The sequence below is a fragment of the Homo sapiens genome, chromosome 19, assembly GCF_000001405.40.
Source record: "Homo sapiens chromosome 19, GRCh38.p14 Primary Assembly".
NCBI lineage: Eukaryota > Metazoa > Chordata > Mammalia > Primates > Hominidae > Homo > Homo sapiens.
In genome coordinates this window covers 54,850,028-54,868,560 of record NC_000019.10, presented here as the reverse complement: position 1 = coordinate 54,868,560, position 18,533 = coordinate 54,850,028, and the positions used below count along the sequence as shown (strand labels likewise).

The window sequence follows — 18,533 nt, the reverse complement described above, 5'->3', positions numbered from 1 at the left end:
TTGAAATGATAATATTTTGAGTCTACTTGTATAATAAAATAATATTTTGGATCTATTAGGTTAATATTTTGGGTCTGTTGGGTTAATAATATTTTGGGTCCATTGGGTTAACTTAAATTAATTTTATCTGTTTCTTGTTAGCTTTTTAATTTGGATACTAGCAAGTTTGAAAGAATGCATGTGGTTTGCATTATGTTTCTATAGGACAGAACTTACCTGTAGATGTAAGGGAGTCACAACAAAATTACAAGCATTGTTTTTGGTGGAAATGAGAAAAATGATTACAAATTTACATGGAAAAGCAAATAGCCAATAATAATAATAATGGCAATCTTAAAGAGGAAGGAGAAATTAGAGGATTCAGGCTGCCAAATTTTAAGGGGTTCTATAAGGCCACATAAAGTGCAGCATCCTCATGAGAGTGGACACAGAGAGCCACTGAGCAGAAAAGAGTGTGTAAAATACATCTGTGTACACACAGTCCTTTTATAGTTGACAGAGGCTGCCATGCGGATTAAGGTGGAATAGAATGTCTTCTCAGTAAATAACATTGGACCAGAGGGTTACAAGCAGGAAAAAATAAATCTAAGCTTATTTTCACACCATAAAAACACTGCTAATTTTTTATCTTATTATCATACATTTTGATGATTTATTTATAAAATTGATGAATGAAAATTATATACAGTTGTCCTTCACTATTCATGGGTGATTGGTTCCAGGAAACCCCCCTCCCTACCAGACACCAAAATCTGCAGATGCTCAAGCCTGTTGCATGAAATGGCACAGCGTTTGCATATAACCCATGCACATCCTCCTGTATACATGAAATCATCTCTAGATTACTTATAATTCCTGATACAGCCTACACACCACCTCACTTGTGTCCACACAATATAGTATTTTTGCTTTTTGGAACTTTGTGGATTTTTTCTCTGAATATTTTTGATTTATATTTGGTTCAATAAACACCTGTAAACCCCACAGATATGGAGGAGCGACTGTATATTTATAGTATGAAAGATGATGTGTTGACATGTGTCCCTGTGGAGATGAGACTAACAAGGCCTATGACTCTACAAATGTTTCATCTTGGAATGACTCTGCCAGCTTTCCAGGTCTGCAGAGAGTAAGAATATCACTTGTTCATGTGATTCACGATCCTTGGAACCTCCTATGTGCTGCATCTTTGGATGGAAATTGGAGTCCCAGAGACAAATGAGGCTCCACCCTGCTTCCAGAAGCTCAGAGTCCAGGGCTGAGAACCCAGTAGAGAACATATCAGGTTATATGGACATAGTAATGATAACACTGGAAACTTTTGGCGAATAAAGAGTCACATTATCGAAACCATGAGGGCAGACATGTTTATTTGAAGAGGAGAGAGCTACACTGAAGTTATAAAAAAAATTTATAAATTTTACTGATGACAGAAGGCTGAAAGATAGTCTGAGGGGAGGTGGAACAGCATGAGGGAAGGTGGAACAGCAAGTGTGTAAGTGCCGTGTTAAGAGGGAGCCTCTTGTATGTTTGGAATTGTGAGTTCCTCAGTGTGATTGCAGCCTCAAGTAGGACTAGGAAGTAAGCCAGTTAGGTTGGAGAGGTGGGCAGGGGTCAAGTGAAATAGATACTTGTGGGCTAAGCAAAGGAGTGTGTTTTCTCTGCAGCAGGCAGTGGCGACCTTAGGCATTTGTAAGCAAGAGAGAGGCATGTTCAGATTCGTGGTGTGAGGAAGAGCGATCCCCTAAGATGCAGACTGATGCCTTCAGATTCCAGCTGCTGGTTCATTGGATCTGGCAACCTGGTTTTGAGACAGGGCTGTTGTCTCCCTAGAAAACCCCCTCAAGACCTGACTGTGGTGCTCGTGGGCAGGAGACAACTTTGGATCTGGGCTCAGCATTTGGAAGTTCCGTGTACACGCTGGTATCTGTTAGGGGTGTCTTGGGCCTCTGAGAAGGGCGACTGATTTTTCTCTGTATGAAAACGCAGTGATCCAACTGTGCGTACGTCACCTCCTGAGGGTCTTGTTCATCAGAGTCCTGGAGAGAGGGAAATGCTGAGTGAGGGAGGGTGCTCACATTTTTCAGGACTATTAGGGATAAGACTGTATCCGTGAGGCTGGGCCGAGGAGGACCTACCTGCCTATTCACTGTTCTGTCCCCCGCAGGCTCTTGGTCCATTACAGCAGCATCTGTAGGAGACGGAAGTCATCAAAACCGCTTGGAGGGCCCTTCTGGGTCCTCATTTCATGGGCAGACACCAACCCACAGGGGGAGGCTGTAGGTGCCTGAGGCTCTTCAGCTGCCAACATCCAGACTCAGACATTCTATCTCTCTGAGTTCAAGACCCCATCCCATGAAGTGCTCTCAATTGGCATCCCATTGATTCTGTCTCCCACTTTCTGCCTGTCATGGAAGCTTCTGGATGTCAGTAGCTGCAGGGGATGTGAGGATACAGTTCAGAACCAGGCAATGGTCTGTGAGCTGAAGGCAGGGGCAGGTTGTCTGGTGCTCTCTCTAGAAAGCCCTGCCTCTGTGGCTCCTCCCTTGGGCCAGGGACCATCCTGCCAGTGAGGAACACACACCCGCGTGCTCCCATCCTGCTTCCCCACATGGCCCTGAGCTCTCTGGCCTCTGCTTCGTGAGACTTACTCTTTTTGTTGGAGCACCAGCGATAAAGGAGAAAGAAGAGGAGGAGGATGAAGAGGAAGATGACCACTGAGGTCCCAATCAGAACATGCAGGTGTCTGCAGATACCTGGAGGAAGATGGGAATCCAATAAGAAGCTAATCATAGCAGTTCCTCTTTATGGATTGTCTCATTTCTTGATTGACAGGTAACCACATGGAACATCTCCTTAGGACAAGCAGCCTGATGGCGGGAGACCCAGCTTTCTCCTGCTTTCTCAGTTACAGCTCTCATAGAAACCATAGAACATGCTGAGGATACAGCTGCTTTAGTTTAGATGTTTGACCCTTTGAAACCTCACACTGAAATATTGAAATTTAACCCCCAGTGTGGAAGTTTGGGCCTATGGGAAGGTGTTTGAGTCATGGAGGTGGATCCATCATGAATAGATTAATGCTGCCCCACATGATGGGGTTAGCAAGTTCCCCCTCTATTAGTTCCCGGAGGGCTGGTTGTTAAAAAGAGCTTGGAAGCTCCATCGCTCGCCCTCCCCCTTGCTCCCTCTCTTGCCATGTGATCTCTGTGGTCTCTGCACAGACAGACCCTCCTTCCCTTCTGCCAGAGTGGGAGCAGCCTGAGGCCGTCACAGGAAACAGATGCTGGTGCCATGCTTCCAGTACAGCCTGCAGAACTGTGAGGCAAACAAATCTGTTTTCTCTAGAAGTTGCCCAGGCTCTGGGATGCAAGGCTGGTTCAATATATGCAAATCAATAAATGTAATCCATCATATAAACAGAACCAAAGACAAAAACCGGACGACTATCTCAATAGATGCAGAAAAGGCCTTTGACAAAATTCAACAACGCTTCATGCTAAAAACTCTCAATAAATTAGGCATTGATGGGACGTATCTCAAAATAATAAGAGCCATCTATAACAAACCCACAGCCAGTATCATACTGAATGGGCAAAAACTGGAAGCATTCCCTTTGAAAACTGGCACAAGACAGGGATGCCCTCTTTCACCACTCCTATTCAACATAGTGTTGGAAGTTCTGGCCAGGGCAATTAGGCAGGAGAAGGAAATAAAGGGTATTCAATTAGGAAAAGAGGAAGTCAAATTGTCCCTGTTTGCAGATGACATGATTGTATATATAGAAAACCCCATTGTCTCAGCCCAAAATCTCCTTAAGCTGATAAGCAGCTTCTACAAAGTCTCAGGATACAGAATCAATGTACAAAAATCACAAGCATTCTTATACACCAATAACAGACAAACAGAGAGCCAAATCATGAGTGAACTCCCATTCACAATTGCTTCAAAGAGAATAAAATACCTAGGAATCCAACTTACAAGGGATATGAAGGACCTCTTCAAGGAGAACTACAAACCACTGCTCAATGAAATAAAAGAGGATACAAACAAATGGAAGAACATTCCATGCTCATGGGTAGGAAGAATCAAGATCGTGAAAATGGCCATACTGCCCAAGGTAATTTATAGATTCAATGCCATCCCCATCAAGCTACCAATGACTTTCTTCACAGAATTGGAAAAAACTACCTTAAAGTTCATATGGAATCAAAAAAGAGCCTGCATTGCCAAGTCAATCCTAAGCCAAAAGAACAAAGCTGGAGGCATCATGCTGCCTGACTTCAAACTATACTACAAGGCTACAGTAACCAAAACAGCATGGTACTGGTACCAAAACAGAGATATAGATCAATGGAACAGAATAGAGCCCTCAGAAATAATGCCACATATCTACAACTATGTGATCTTTGACAAACCTGAGAAAAACAAGCAATGGGGAAAGGATTCCCTATTTAATAAATGGTGCTGGGAAAACTGGCTAGCCATAGGTAGAAAGCTGAAACTGGATCCCTTCCTTACACCTTATACAAAAATTAATTTGAGATGGATTAAAGACTTAAACGTTAGACCTAAAACCATAAAAACCCTAGAAGAAAACCTAGGCATTACCATTCAGGACATAGGCATGGACAAGGACTTCATGTCTAAAACACCAAAAGCAACGGCAACAAAAGCCAAAATTGACAAACGGGATCTAATTAAACTAAAGAGCTTCTGCACAGCAAAAGAAACTACCATCAGAGTGAACAGACAACCTACAAAATGGGAGAAAATTTTCGCAACCTACTCATCTGACAAAGGGCTAATATCCAGAATCTACAATGAACTCAAACAAATTTACAAGAAAAAAACAAACAATCCTATCAAAAAGTGGGCAAAGGACATGAACAGACACTTCTCAAAAGAAGACATTTATGCAGCCAAAAAACACATGAAAAAATGCTCACCATGACTGGCCATCAGAGAAATGCAAATCAAAACCACAATGAGATACCATCTCACACCAGTTAGAATGGCGATCATTAAAAAGTCGGGAAACAACAGGTGCTGGAGAGGATGTGGAGAAATAGGAACACTTTTACACTGTTGGTGGGACTGTAAACTAGTTCAACCATTGTGGAAGTCAGTGTGGCGATTCCTCAGGGATCTAGAGCTTGAAATACCATTTGACCCAGCCATCCCATTACTGGGTATAAACCCAAAGGACTATAAATCATGCTGCTATAAAGACACATGGACACGTATGTTTATTGTGGCACTATTCACAATAGCAAAGACTTGGAACCAACCCAAATGTCCAACAATGATAGACTGGATGAAGAAAATGTGGCACATATACACCATGGAATACTATGCAGCCATAAAAAATGATGAGTTCATGTCCTTTGCAGGGACATGGATGAAATTGGAAATCATCATTCTCAGTAGACTATCACAAGGACAAAAATCCAAACACCGCATGTTCTCACTTATAGGTGGGAATTGAACAATGAGAACACATGGACACAGGAAGGGGAACATCACACTCTGGGGACTGTTGTGGGGTGGGGGGAGGGGGGAGGGATAGCATTAGGAGATATACCTAATGCTAAATGACGAGTTGATGGGTGCAGCACACCAGCATGGCACATGTATACATATGTAACTAACCTGCACATTGTGCACATGTACCCTAAAACTTAAAGTATAATAATAATAAAAATTTTAAAAAAAAGCTCATCAGAAGCACTATACAAAAAAAAAAAAAAAAAAAAAAGAAGTAACCCAGGCTCAAGTGTTCTTTTATAGCAACAAAAATGGACTAAGACAGCAACGTCCTGAGATCAGGAGGAACGTCTCAGAACAGCCTGTGCTGTCTTCCTGTTCTTCCTGGAGGAGGACGTCATGCAGTGCTTTAGCTGAGTGCTTCCTGTGGCTTCAGGGTACAAAACCCAGGCTGGGCTATTTTCTGGCTTCCCCCAGATACACTGCAAATGAGGTGACTCCATATGTCCCGAGCAGCTTTTCTGAGCCTTGAGGGACTGGCTCACGTTGAAATGTAGGCTTCTGTTGTCACTCGCTGCTTATCTGTTAGTAATGAACCTGCCTATGTAACGTATTCTCTGTGTGTTCTGTCTCCCTGGAGTGACGGTGAGTGATAGAAATTGGCATAGGCCCAGGTGCAGTACAGCAGGTGTTTAGAGTCTTCTCTGGAAAGACTGGACTGGGATTGATACACAGTGAATGTGCTTTACAGTTTCTACATCCACAACCCTCTTGACTCAAATTACATTCTCCAAGAAAAGGACACAAAAGTGAAATCAAGATCAAAAAAGCAAAGTAGAATTCTCTTATGTCAAACAGCCAGGAAATAATGATGAAGCCCATGTGAAACGTGCTACTCTTTGTGATCTCGCGAGACACATGTTAGGCTGCTGTTCCACCTGAGAGGCTGGGGGAAAGACCACCCCCTCCACCATCTATTGCTTCAAAACCACCTGTCCTCCTGTGAATTAGTAGGAAAGGGGAGCAGGAGCTAGTGCTGGTGCTGATCTCTGATTCCAAGATCTGAACTCACTCCAAGGAGTATTAGCGTTTACCTCCCCATGATCTATCTGTATCTCCACAGGTGATTGGAAGTAGGGGTGAGGTGGGGGATTTGGGTGAGGGGGAAAGTTTCTTGTGATGAACAGAGCACTTTCCCTATTTCAGGGCCTGTGCTGGTGGGTTCAGGGGGCTTTCATATTTTCCATATGATCTCATGTTCACAGAAAGCCAAATATGGAAGAGGTTTTAGGCTGATTTTCTAATGGATAAGATAAAGGATCAAAGAAGTAATTATAGAGGAATAGAAAAATGATGATTGGAATTCAGGTGCCTGCATCATTTGTGTATATTATTATATTTATGTATTTTTTATTTTTATTTTTTGAGACAGAGTATCCCTGTGTAGCCCAGGCTGGTGTGCAGTGATGCGATCTCCACTCACTGCAACCTCTGCCTCCAGGGCTGAAGTCATTCTCCTGCTTCCTCCTCCAGAGTAGCTGGGATTACAGTCATGCACCACCATCATGCCTGTTTAATTTTTGTATTTTTAGTAGAGATAGGGTTTCTCCATGTTGGCCAGGCTGGTCTCGAACTCCTGACTTCATGTGATCCACCCGCGTTGGCCTCCTGAAGTGCTGGGTTACAGGCGTGAGCCACCGTTCACAGCCTTGTATATTATGCTATACTAGGTCCCTTCATTTGCACCACCCCTCATCTAGCTCTCCCTCCTCTGCCAGGTATTGATTTAGATGCAGGAGAAATAAATCTCAGAAATAAGTTAGTGAAGCGAGGATTAAACTACCAGGAAAAATTAAACCCAGCAAGCCTTTCCAGCCAATGATTCTACCTCACAAACATATCTTATATCCATCTACTTCATTCATTTAGTGTCTAAATCAGCACCACATTTCACCAGTGGGGCGGCAATTGCCTTTTCCACGGTCTCCTAGATTCCAGTTATGCAACTGAGCCTCCCTTATTTTCATGTCAGTCATATTAATCATGTAGGGATTCCTGGTTACCTCGAGGTGAATCCAATGGCTGTGAGTGTCAAACACACGCTCCTTGTTGCTCCTTAGTTTCCTGTGTACCCAGTGTGCTCTCCGTCTCTCTACAGTCATCTTGTCATTCTCCCCACCTCATTCCCAGCATTTGAGTCAGAGCCTCTTCCTTCCACATCAGATTGTTTTCACCTTTGTGCCTTCACGGCTGACAGCTGTGTGTGCAAAATCCTTCCGCCAATCTTTCAGGGGTTCAATCCGTGTTTTTCATTAATGTCACAAATATCTGATTAGTGAGAACTTCTCTGTCACCTGAAATAATACACTCAGCATTATCTATTATTGATTTGAAAATTTGGCTTGGCCCCGTGGCTCATGCCTCTTATCCCAGCGTGTTGGGAGGCAGAGGCTATTGGATCACCTGAGGTTGGGAATTTGAGACCAGCCTGGCCAACATGGTGAAACATCCTCTCTACAGAAAATATGCAAAAAGAGTTAGCCGGGCGTGGTGGTTGTGGTCTGTAATCCCAGCTACTGGAGAGGCTGAGGGAGGAGATCAGTTCAGCCCAGGAGGTGGAGGTTGCAGTGAGCCGAGATCATGCCACCGCACTCTAGCCTGGACGACAGAGCAAGGCTCCGTCTCAATAAACAAGTAGGTAAATACATAAATAAATAGATTTCATGCACAGATGCTTCTCAATAGATCATTCATTTATTGGTCCCCTTGTGCCTACATTTTCTGCCCTCCCATTTAACCATCTGCAAGATCAGTGTCCCAAGAACAGAGGCCAAATGCATCTTGTTCACTGTTTGTGGAAGGCAGGAGAATGTTGTCCCACCCCAAAAATGTCCATGTCCTAGCCTCCATAGCTTGTGAATATGTTATTTTACATGAAAGGAGGAATGAAGATTGCAGATGGAATTATGGTTGCTAGTCAGCTGAACTTAAAAGGAGGGTATCCTGGATGATTTCCGGGAGATTATGATGGATTTTCATCTTGGTGAACCCAATAGAATCCCCAAGTTTTCAAAAGAAGGGCAAGAAGGGAGAGCAGCATTCAGAGAAAGAGGTGTGGTAAGGAAGAAGGGTCTGAGTGATGCCATGTGAGATGTGACCAGTCTTTGTGGGCTTTGAGGAAGGAGGAAGGGTACCAGGAGCCAAGGAACATGGGAGCCTCTAGAAGCTGAGAAAAGTGAGAAGCAGATTCTTGCCTGGAACCCTCAGAGGGAAGGCAGCCTTGCTGTCACCTTGATTTTAGCCCAGTGACATGCACGTCATGCTTTGAGCTACAGCACTGTAAGATAATTAAATAACCGTTTTGTTTTCACACACGAATCTTGTGGAAATTTGTTATGGCAACAATAGGAAAAGCTTCCACACTGCACAGCCTGAGCATGGGGCTGTGGCTGAATGAGTCACTGAGTCGAAGTGTGCGTGCATGAGCTCTGTTCTCTGTTACGGCAAGGCTCTTGCTCTGCTGAGTCAGCCAGGGTTGCCTGATGACCAACAGTAATTCATTCCTTGGCAAGTGGAACTTCTCTAAAACACCCACCCTCATCAGATGTTCCCTTCCCTTCCCTCTCTCAAGCCCCCGGGAATTTATCCTCCAGTTAGGAATGCAGGCAGAAAAAACACTGCATTTTTCCTGAGAAGGATGTCAGATTGGCAATTATTCTTCTAGCTTGTAGGAGGTCTCACCTGCAGGAAATTAAAGGTAAAGAGACTTCGCTGAGCCCTTTGGTGGCCCTAGATCCCTTTCACTGTTGGAGTGTCTGGAGTTCAGAGATGGTGGAAGACAGGCCCTCATTCACAGAGCTGGGAGGTTTGAGCCAACACTTGCATCCAAGGCTTCCACCTCCCCAGGTTTCCAAAAGCAGAGATAAGAGGGGTCCTTTACTCACCAGATTTGGAGCTTGGTTCTGTGGGTGAAGGCCAACTACTTGAAGGGTTTCCTAGAACACGGGACAGGAGAGATGTGAGGAAATGAGGGTGCTTGTCCTCTACTCAATGGAAATCTTTGAGGTTGGTTCATGGCCAACACTCTGTTATCTAATGTTGGACCCTGGGAGTCTTGGGATCCTTTTCTCCATAATTTTTGTGTGCGATGCCCACTGTCTTGAGACTTGAAGGTATAAAGAGAAAACAGGAGCATCACACTACCTGACTTAGAAATATGTTACAGAGCTGTAGTAAGCAAAACAGCATGACATTGGCATAAAGAAAGGCACATAAAAAATGGAACAGAATGGAGAACACAGATATAATCCATGCATTTACATCCAATGGCTTTCTTTTGTGTGTGTGTGATAGAATCTTGCTCTGTCATGCAGGCTGGAGTGTAGAGGTGCAATCTCAGCTCAATGCAACCTCCACTTCCTGGATTCAAGAAATTCTCTTGCTTCAAACTCCTGAGTAGTGGTATTACAGGCACTGATCACCATGCTCAGCTAATTTTTGTATTTTTAGTAGAGACGAGGTTTCACTCTGTTGGCCAGCCTGGTCTTGAACTCCTGGCTTTAGGTGATCCACCCGCCTCGGCCTCCCAAAGTGCTGGAATTGCAGGTGTGAGCCACCATACCCAGCCCATTTAATGGACTTTGACAAAGGTGCCGAGAACTTACAATCAGGAAAGGACAGTCTTCAATAAATGGTGTGGGGAAAACTGGATATCTACATGCAGAGGAATAAAACTGCATCTATACCTGTCACCTTACACAAAAATCAAATGAAAATGGATTAAAAACATGAGTCTAAGGCCTGAACCTATGAAACATGTAGAAGAAAATAATGGGGAAGACATTTGTCTGATGAAAGACATTTTGTTTAAAACCTTCAAAACACAAGTAATCAAAGCAAAAAATAGACCATTAGGATTACATCAAACCAAGCAACTTCTGCACCACCAAAGATAAACCAACAAAGTGAAGAGACAACCCACAAAATAGGAGCAAATATTTGCAAACTATTCATCTGAGATGGGATTAATAACTGGAAATATAAGAAGCTCAAACAACTCAATAAAACAATTTAATTAAAAAACGAGCAAAAGACATGAGGAGACATTTCTCCACAAACAAAACATAGAAATGGCGATCACGTATATGAAAAAGTGCTCAGCATCACTCATCATCACAGAAATGTAAATTACAATCGCGATGAGTTTTCATCTCATCCCATTAAAATGCCTTTTAGGCCGGTGGCTCACGCCTGTAATTCCAGCACTTTGGGAGGCGGAGGTGGGCGGATCACCTGAGGTCGGGAGACCAGCCTGACCAACATGGAGAAACTCCCTCTCTACTAAACATACAAAAATTAGCTAGGCGTGGTGGCACATGCCTGTAATCCCAGCTACTTTGGAGGCTGAGGCAGGAGAATCAGTTGAACGCGGGAGGCAGAGGTTGCAGTGAGCCGAGATCACACCCTTGCACTCCAGCCTGGGCGACTATGAGTGAAACTCCATCTCAACATAAATAAATAAATAAATAAAGTAAAGTAAAATGGCTTTTATCTGCAAGACAGGCAAAACAAATGCTGGCAAGATGGTAGAGAAAGGAGAACCCTGGTACCCTGTTGGTAGGAATGTAAATTAGTACAACTATTATGGAGAAAAGTATGGAAAATCTTTAAAAAACTAAAAGGAGGCTGGGCATAGTGGCTTATGCCTGTAACTTCAGCACTTTGGGAAACCGAGGCAGGCACCTCACTTGAGGTCAGGAGTTTGAGAGCAGCCTGCCCAAAATTGGGATATCCCGTCTGTGCTAAAAAATACAAGAATTAGTCAGGCATGGTGGCGTGCACCTGTAATCACAGCTATTAGGGAGGCTGAGTCAGGAGAATCGTTTGAACCTAGGAAGCAGAGGTTGCAATGAGCCAAGATCGCACCACTTTGACTCCAGCTTGGACTAAGGAGGGAAACTCTTTCTCAAAAAAGAAAAAAAAAAAAAGAGAACTTTCATAGTGTCCAGCAATTTCACTACTGGGTTTATATCCAAAGGAAAGGACATCAGTGTATCGAAGTGATATCTGCACTCATATGACTGTTCCAGCACTGTTCACAGTAGCCAAGATGTGGAGTCAACCTACCTGCCTATCAGTGGGTGAATGGATAGAGAACTGTAGTACACACACACGGTGGAGACTACTCATCCATAGAAACAATAACATCCTGTCATTTGCAGCCACATGGATGGAACTGGAGGTCATTACAAAGATTCCCATTTCTCACCACATGCAGGAGATAAAAGGTGGATCTCATGAAGGTAGAGAATAGAATGGTGGATACCAGAGGCCAGGAAGGGAAGGGTGGAAGGTAACAAAAAAAAGAATATAGATGTATTTATTTATTTAGAAACAGAGTCTCTCTCTGTCTCCCAGGCTGCAGTGCAGTGGCATGATCTCGGCTCAGTGCAACCTCTGCCTCCTGGCTTTAAGTGCTTCTCCTGCCTCAGCCTCCCAAGTAGCTAGGACTACAGGTGCATGCCGGCATGCTTGGCTAATTTTTCTTGTCTGTTTAGTAAAGATGAATTTCCCGCATGTTGGCCAGGCTGATCTCGAGTCCCTGATCTTAAATGATCCACCTTTCTTGGCCTCTCAAAGCGCCAAGATTACAACCGTGAACCACCACACCCAGCATATAAAGGTATTTATGACCACTAGATTTTACTTTTAAAAATGGTAAAGTTGGTAAATTATATAGTTACATTTAACCTCAATAAATATTTTTGAAAATGAAAAGAAAAGAGTGTAGGGGTTGCTGGTGATGACATCTCTCTGTGTGGGTGAGAGGCCAGGATGGGCTTCTGGGAAATGGGTAAGGTTGAGGGGCTGAGGGAACCTCTGATCTCCCCAAACTGAGCCCAGTCTCCCCTTCTCTGGGTCTGTCCTGACCGCTTTCTCCATCTGCCTGGGTGCCTGGAGCCCTGACCATGGGCCTCCATGCAGGCCATGCAAGAGGGTTTGGAGGTGCCCTGTCTGCCATCCTGCACCCTGACCCCCCCCTCACACCCAGTCTTCGTGTTCTCTCTGCATCTGTCCATGCTTCTCCCCATCATCGGCAGGAAGCTCCTCAGCTATGGCTCTAGGATCATAAGACATGGGACAGACACGGGTTTTCCTCACCTGTGACAGAAACAAGCAGTGGGTCACTTGAGTTTGACCACACGCAGGGCAGGGCACGGAAAGAGCCGAAGCATCTGTAGGTCCCTCCGTGGGTGGCAGGGCCCAGAGGAAAGTCTGCCTGGAATGTTCTGTTGACCTTGGGCACTGCACGGAGCCTACGTTCATGGGCCTCCCCTTCCCTGGACAGATGGTAGATGTCATAGGAGCTCCAGGAGCTACAGGACAAGGTCACGTTCTCTCCTGCCTGAACCGTGGGGCCCGGCTGGGCTGAGAGAGAAGGTTTCTCATATAGACCTGGAAGGAGAAGAGGCAGTTTCCTCAGGGAGGTTCTTCCTTGTCACAGCTCCCCTCATACCTGAGCTGAGAACTCACTCCCCTGCTCTATGACCTAATGCTCTCTCTCTCTCTCACCCTCCACCCCAACTCTCTTCATGTCTATTTCCTCCTTCCGCCTTCTCTGTCTCTCTAGGTCTCTGACCTCACTTCCCCACCCCTGGGTATGCTTTCCCTTTTTGGATTGTTTTATTCTCTCTGACTCTCCTTGGATTGGTTGACTTGATCTTCCTTTTTCTATAATTCTGAGTCTCTCACTTTCTGTCTTGTTCATAACTTTCTGCATATTTCTATCTATTATCTATCTATCTATTTTGTGTCTATCTACAAATTATCTGTCATCTATATCTATGTATCATTTATCTATCAATTGTCTATCTGTCTATCCATCAATCATCTATGTATTATCTGTATCTATGTATCATCTCTCTCTCTCTCTATTACCTCTCTGTCTGCCTGTCAGTCTCTATGTATCATCTATGTATCTATATATTTATATATGTGTCTTCTATCTATCTTCATCATCATCATCATCATCTCTATGTATCATCTATCAATCATCATCTATGTATCTATAACCTATCCATTATCTATCATCTACCTATTTATCATCTATCTATATCTATCTATCCATCTATCATCTGTCTCTCTCCATCTCCTTGTCTTTCTCTGCCTCTCAGTCTCTCTAGTTCTATTTGGAATCTCTGCAATCCATCCCCACATCTTTATCTTTCTCTGTCTTTGTGCCCCTCCCTCAGGGTTCTGATTTTGGGGCTTTTCTCTCCTCCCTTCCAGCATTCTCTCCACTCCTCTGCCCTCTTTTCTTTCTTTTTGTGTGTCTGTGAGTCTCTCAATCCCCTTCCTCTGGCTCATTCTCTGTGTGTTTATGCCTTTGCTTTTTGAAGTCCCTGATTTATCTCTGTGTCTCTCAGTGATCCTATTATATGTAGGATTATTTGGAATATGAGCCTCAGAATCTAGTCTGGGGACACCAAGTACACACAGTATTTAGGGGTTGGTGTTCTGGGGCCATGATATCCTGGGATAATTATGGCTCCACTGCATGGAAGGCAGAGGTGTCAGAATAAACATGGCATCTGTAGATGCCACAAGGCCTGAGGCCACAGGGCCCAACTCAGGTCAGAAATATGGGTGTCCTTGGGTTCTCCTCGTAGAAGCACTTTGTGGAGACAAAACAGAAATGAAACTTCTAACCTGTGCCAGGTCTCTGAGCAAAGTCAGCATGGAAGGACACTTCTCTCTGGCACATGTCTGTCTGTCTGAGTGTCTCCTTTACCTCTTTCTCTCTTTTCTACTTCCCCGTATGGCCCCTGTGTCTGTCCTCTGTTATGACACCTGGTCTGTACTTATGTCTCCTGTTTCCCTGTCTCTGTTGGTACAGACCTCACCGAGTCAGTCTCTCTCCATAAGAATCCCACGCTTATCTTCCTCATGACCACCTGGGGGTTCCAAGTCCTGGATCATTCACTCTGTGTCCCAATGACAATGAGAAGAATGTCTGGACACTCTCACCTGTGATCACGATGTCCAGGGGGTCACTGGGAGCTGACAACTGATAGGGGGAGTGAGGAACAGAACCATAACATCTGTAGGTTCCTGCAAGGACAGGCATCAAGGGACCGATGGAGAAGTTGGCCTTGGAGACCCCATCATGGATCTGTCCAACGAGGCGTGAGGGGTCCTCAGAGATCCCCTCTCTGTGCAGAAAGAAGTGCTCAAACATGACATCTGACCAACATTGCAGGATGACTGTCTCTCCTGATTTCAGCAGGGGCCCTGGGTGGGCCAGGAGGGAAGGTTTTCTGTGGTTTCCTAGAAAGAGAAGTTGTGAGTTTAGAAGGCATCTCTCTTTATCATCCCATCCATGGCACCTGGAATGAGTGAGGGTTCCCCTCCCAGAGGTCTGTCTCTCTCCTCCCTCTCTGTGTCTCCGTGTCTTTTCTGTGCCCATATCCCCTGGTGCAGGTCCCTCCATTTGTCTTCCTCCCTCTTCTCTGTCCCTCTGTCTCCAGTAGCCCCTGACTCCCTTCCCACTGTGAAGAGAGCCTCATCTCTTGGGCTGTTGTATCTCTTTCCCACTAGTCTCTTTCCTGCTGTCTATGTGGGGGTGGAAGAGGACAGGCTGCATGTCCAGGCTCTCAGCAGCCTGAATCAATCTCTTTTGAACAAATTGGAGTCTCTGGCAGAGGTATCAACTCATCAGTAAGGCAGACATCAGTGTCCACACACCCTGTTCCTGATGGGGATTGGGAGCCTCTCCTGCCATGTCTGTGCCTTCTCCATGGCCCCAGCTTCCATAGGGTGGTCCCTGGTGCTGGTTCCAGGAGCATCAACCCCTTCCTATGTGGATGGAGCCTGGTGGTGGCATCAGCATCCCACCCTTGCTGATCCCACGGTAGCCAACCTTCTCCTTGTTTGGTTTCTTTAATTAATTGATTAATTAATTTATTTTTGAGACAGTCACTTTTTCACCCAGGCTGGAGTGCAGTGGTGTTGTCTTGGCTCACTGCAACCTCTGCCTCCCCGGTTCAAGTGATTATCTTGCCTCAGCCTCCCCAGTCGTTGGATTACTCGTGCCCACCACCACACCTGGCTATCCTTGTTTGGTTTCCTAGCTTGTCCTTGACCTGGGTTCCTGTGTCGGTTTCCTGTTGCTGCTGCAGAAAATTATCACAAACATGGCAGCAGGAGAGAACACACTGACCCCTTCCACTTCTGGGGACAGAAATTGGATCCAGTTCTCCCTGTGCTGAAATCAAGGCATCTGCAGGGCTGCGTTCCCTCTGGAGACTCAGCAAATCAGTTCTCTTGACTTCTCCAGCCCTTAGAGGCCACCTGCATTCTGTGACTAGTGGCCTTCCTCCACCTTCAAAGCCCACAGTGGCTGATAGCGTCTCCCTCCCACTACACTGCTCTAATCCCCACTCCCCTCTTCCTCCACCTCTCACGCGGACCCTTGTGATTACACTGAGCCCAGCAGGACAGTCCAGGCTGTCTCCCCATCTCAAGGTCAACTCATCAACAACCTGAGCTCCACCTTCCCCTTCAGTCCCCTGCCCTATAACATAAATAGTCACAGGCTCCAGGGTTTACAATGTAGCCATCATTGGCGACAGTTATTCTTCCCACCACAGCACCCATTTCCCCTGTATTCAATCTCCCTTGACCCCAAATACAGTTGGGGCCTGGGTGATGGGACCCTGATGGACACCCCCACCAGAAGCTCTGGGATTCAGGAGGTGGGACAGTGAGAAGCCCAGACAGAAAGCCTCTGACCTGTGACCATGATCACCAGGGGGTTGCTGGGTGCCGACCACCCAGTGAGGGAGTGTGGGCGTGAACCCCGACATCTGTAGGTCCCTGCATGTGCTGGGGTCACAGGGCCCATGATGAAGCTCTCCTGGAATATTCTGCCGTGGAAGATGGGAACGTGGCTTCTGTCTTCTTTGTACAGCATGAAATTGTTAAACCCACGACGATAGTGACACTGAAGAGCCACGTGTCCTCCTCGAGGCACCACAGTGCTGGGCCGGGCAGACAGGAAGGGTTTGTCCTGACCACCTGGGGGAGAAGGAGGCACTGCCTTAGAGAGGAGGATGTGGAGCCACCCCTCCCTCCCTGTGCTCAGAAGATTCTCCCATTTCCGCTTTCTAAGGCTCCTACCACACCTGGGTGCCCAGGGCTACAGGAAGGACCCACCCCACATAGACATGGCGTCTCCCTACAACAAGTGTCAGCTGAGAACTTTGAGCAAGTGCTGAATAAGTGACTCTTACTAGATTTTAATACTGCAAAATTACTCACATAAAACAACACAAAGTAGACACGGCATGGAGGGCATGTCCTATGTGAATGGAATATCAGCCAATTCATGAACTGAGCCCCCTCAGAGGATTTGGAATGTCAGGGCCATGGCTGTGGTTTCCCCCCTCTTCTGGTAGAAAGACCGCAGCCACACTGCAGCCCCTACCGTCACGGAAACGCTGGAGGGTGTCAGTTATACCTTTGTCCTCAGAGGACCTGCTGTTCCTAGCACTGCTTCCCTCTCTTTCTCTGCTGCTGACACCACTTCCTCCCTGCACACCCCAGCTTGGAGCACCCCAGTCTCACCCCAGTCTTCACAGAGCTTGACTCAGGAAAGGGAAAGAAAGGCCAGGGAGGGCGAGGTCAGAAATGTGGGCCGAGTATCCAAGGGTCCCCTCTTCCTAGTTTATGAGAGACTCCCCGACAGGACTTCCCTCCTGTTTCAGAAAAATCCTCTTATGTGGGGAGATGACACCCTAAGGTTTGGGGACGGACTCACCCATGAGTGGCCAGGCCCCCTGCAGCAAGAAGAACCCTGGAAAGAAAGATCATGATAGACGATCCAACTGCAGGCAAACCAGGGCACCCTGCTGCCCCCACTGCACTGTGTGTCTTGGCAGCCAGGCCCTTGCTGGGCTGAAGGTAAACTTAGCCTCCCTGCTACCTGCTGCCAAGAACAGGGCTCTCAGCTGTGGAGAGACCCAGGCTCCAGGCCCAGATCAACACTTCCTGGCCCAGATCTCCACTCCAGGCCCATATCTCCACTCCAGGCCCCTATCTCCACTCCAGGCCCATATCTCCACTCCAGGCCCATATCTCCACATCAGACCCATATCTCCACTCCAGGCCCAGATCTCCCCTCTAGGCCCATATCTCCACTCCAGGCCCATATCTCCACTCCAGGCCCATATCTCCACATCAGACCCATATCTCCACTCCAGGCCCATATCTCCACTCCAGGCCCAGATCTCCACCTGCAGGCCCATATCTCCACTCCAGGCCCATATCTCCACTCCAGGCCCGTATCTCCACTCCAGGCCCATATCTCCACACCCAGGCCCATATCTCCCCTCCAGGCCCATATCTCCACTCCAGGCCCATATTTACACCTCCAGGCCCATATCTCCACACCCAGGCCCATATCTCCACTCCAGGCCCATATCTCCACTCCAGGCCCATATCTTTACCTCTAGGCCGAGATCTCCATCCCCACTCTCCCTCCCTCTATTCCCTTCCAGGACTCACCAACGCACGCCATGCTGACGACCGTGAGCGACATGGTGCTGCCGGTGCAGACAGGAGGCCGCGCCCCAGCTCAGCTCAGCAGCGCACAGGATGTTATTTGGCGCCCTGCCCATGCAGTTTACATGTTGACCACATCATGGGAGGGTGACGTACGCAGGCTCTTTCTACCTTGCATGAGGCCCAGTGGGTGCTCGCTCAAGAGCGGAACATGGCTTCCTGGAAATTGTTGTGACTACAATTGCCACCTTGCATCCTTCACTATGACCAGACTCAAAAGACGTCTCAGATCCAACCTCTCACACATGAGGTGATTGAATTCTGTGCTTACATTAAAGACTTTTGATGTATTTTTGTTTTTATCTGAGATTCAAACTTTTCTTCATGTGTAATGTGCAAAATATCTAAGAGGTATTATTAACATTATCAGAGTAATTGTGACAAAAAGCCATTCTAATTTTCCTGATGAGTTTCTAGTACTAAAC

The 18,533-nt window shown here is 46.2% G+C and overlaps 1 protein-coding gene across 3 annotated transcripts; it reads right to left on the bottom strand.

Annotated features, from left to right (window-relative positions):
* KIR3DL2 (killer cell immunoglobulin like receptor, three Ig domains and long cytoplasmic tail 2) lies at positions 1,354 to 18,118 on the bottom strand. Of its 3 annotated transcripts, NM_006737.4 has the most exons (9): positions 18,052 to 18,118; positions 17,306 to 17,341; positions 16,279 to 16,563; positions 14,515 to 14,814; positions 12,649 to 12,942; positions 9,432 to 9,482; positions 2,652 to 2,756; positions 2,139 to 2,191; positions 1,354 to 2,039 (listed from the first exon to the last, which is right to left on the bottom strand). In NM_006737.4, exons 1-9 carry the CDS (start codon positions 18,083 to 18,085, stop codon positions 1,830 to 1,832), a joined length of 1,368 nt encoding a protein of 455 aa, NP_006728.2. In that variant the 5' UTR covers positions 18,086 to 18,118; the 3' UTR covers positions 1,354 to 1,829. The 3 variants fall into 3 exon arrangements, with proteins under 3 accessions (NP_006728.2, NP_001229796.1, XP_047294751.1); NM_001242867.2 differs by lacking the exon at positions 9,432 to 9,482; XM_047438795.1 differs by lacking the exons at positions 2,652 to 2,756; positions 9,432 to 9,482.

Coding starts and splice junctions, on each gene's coding strand:
- KIR3DL2 (NM_006737.4), bottom strand. CDS start 18,085: ATGTCGCTCACGGTCGTCAGCATGGCGTGCGTTG. Junction 16,564..17,305: donor GGGGGCCTGGCCACTCATGG/GTGAGTCCGTCC, acceptor CTTCTCCCCCAG/GTGGTCAGGACAAACCCTTC. Junction 2,040..2,138: donor ACAGAACAGTGAATAGGCAG/GTAGGTCCTCCT, acceptor CCCTCTCTCCAG/GACTCTGATGAACAAGACCC.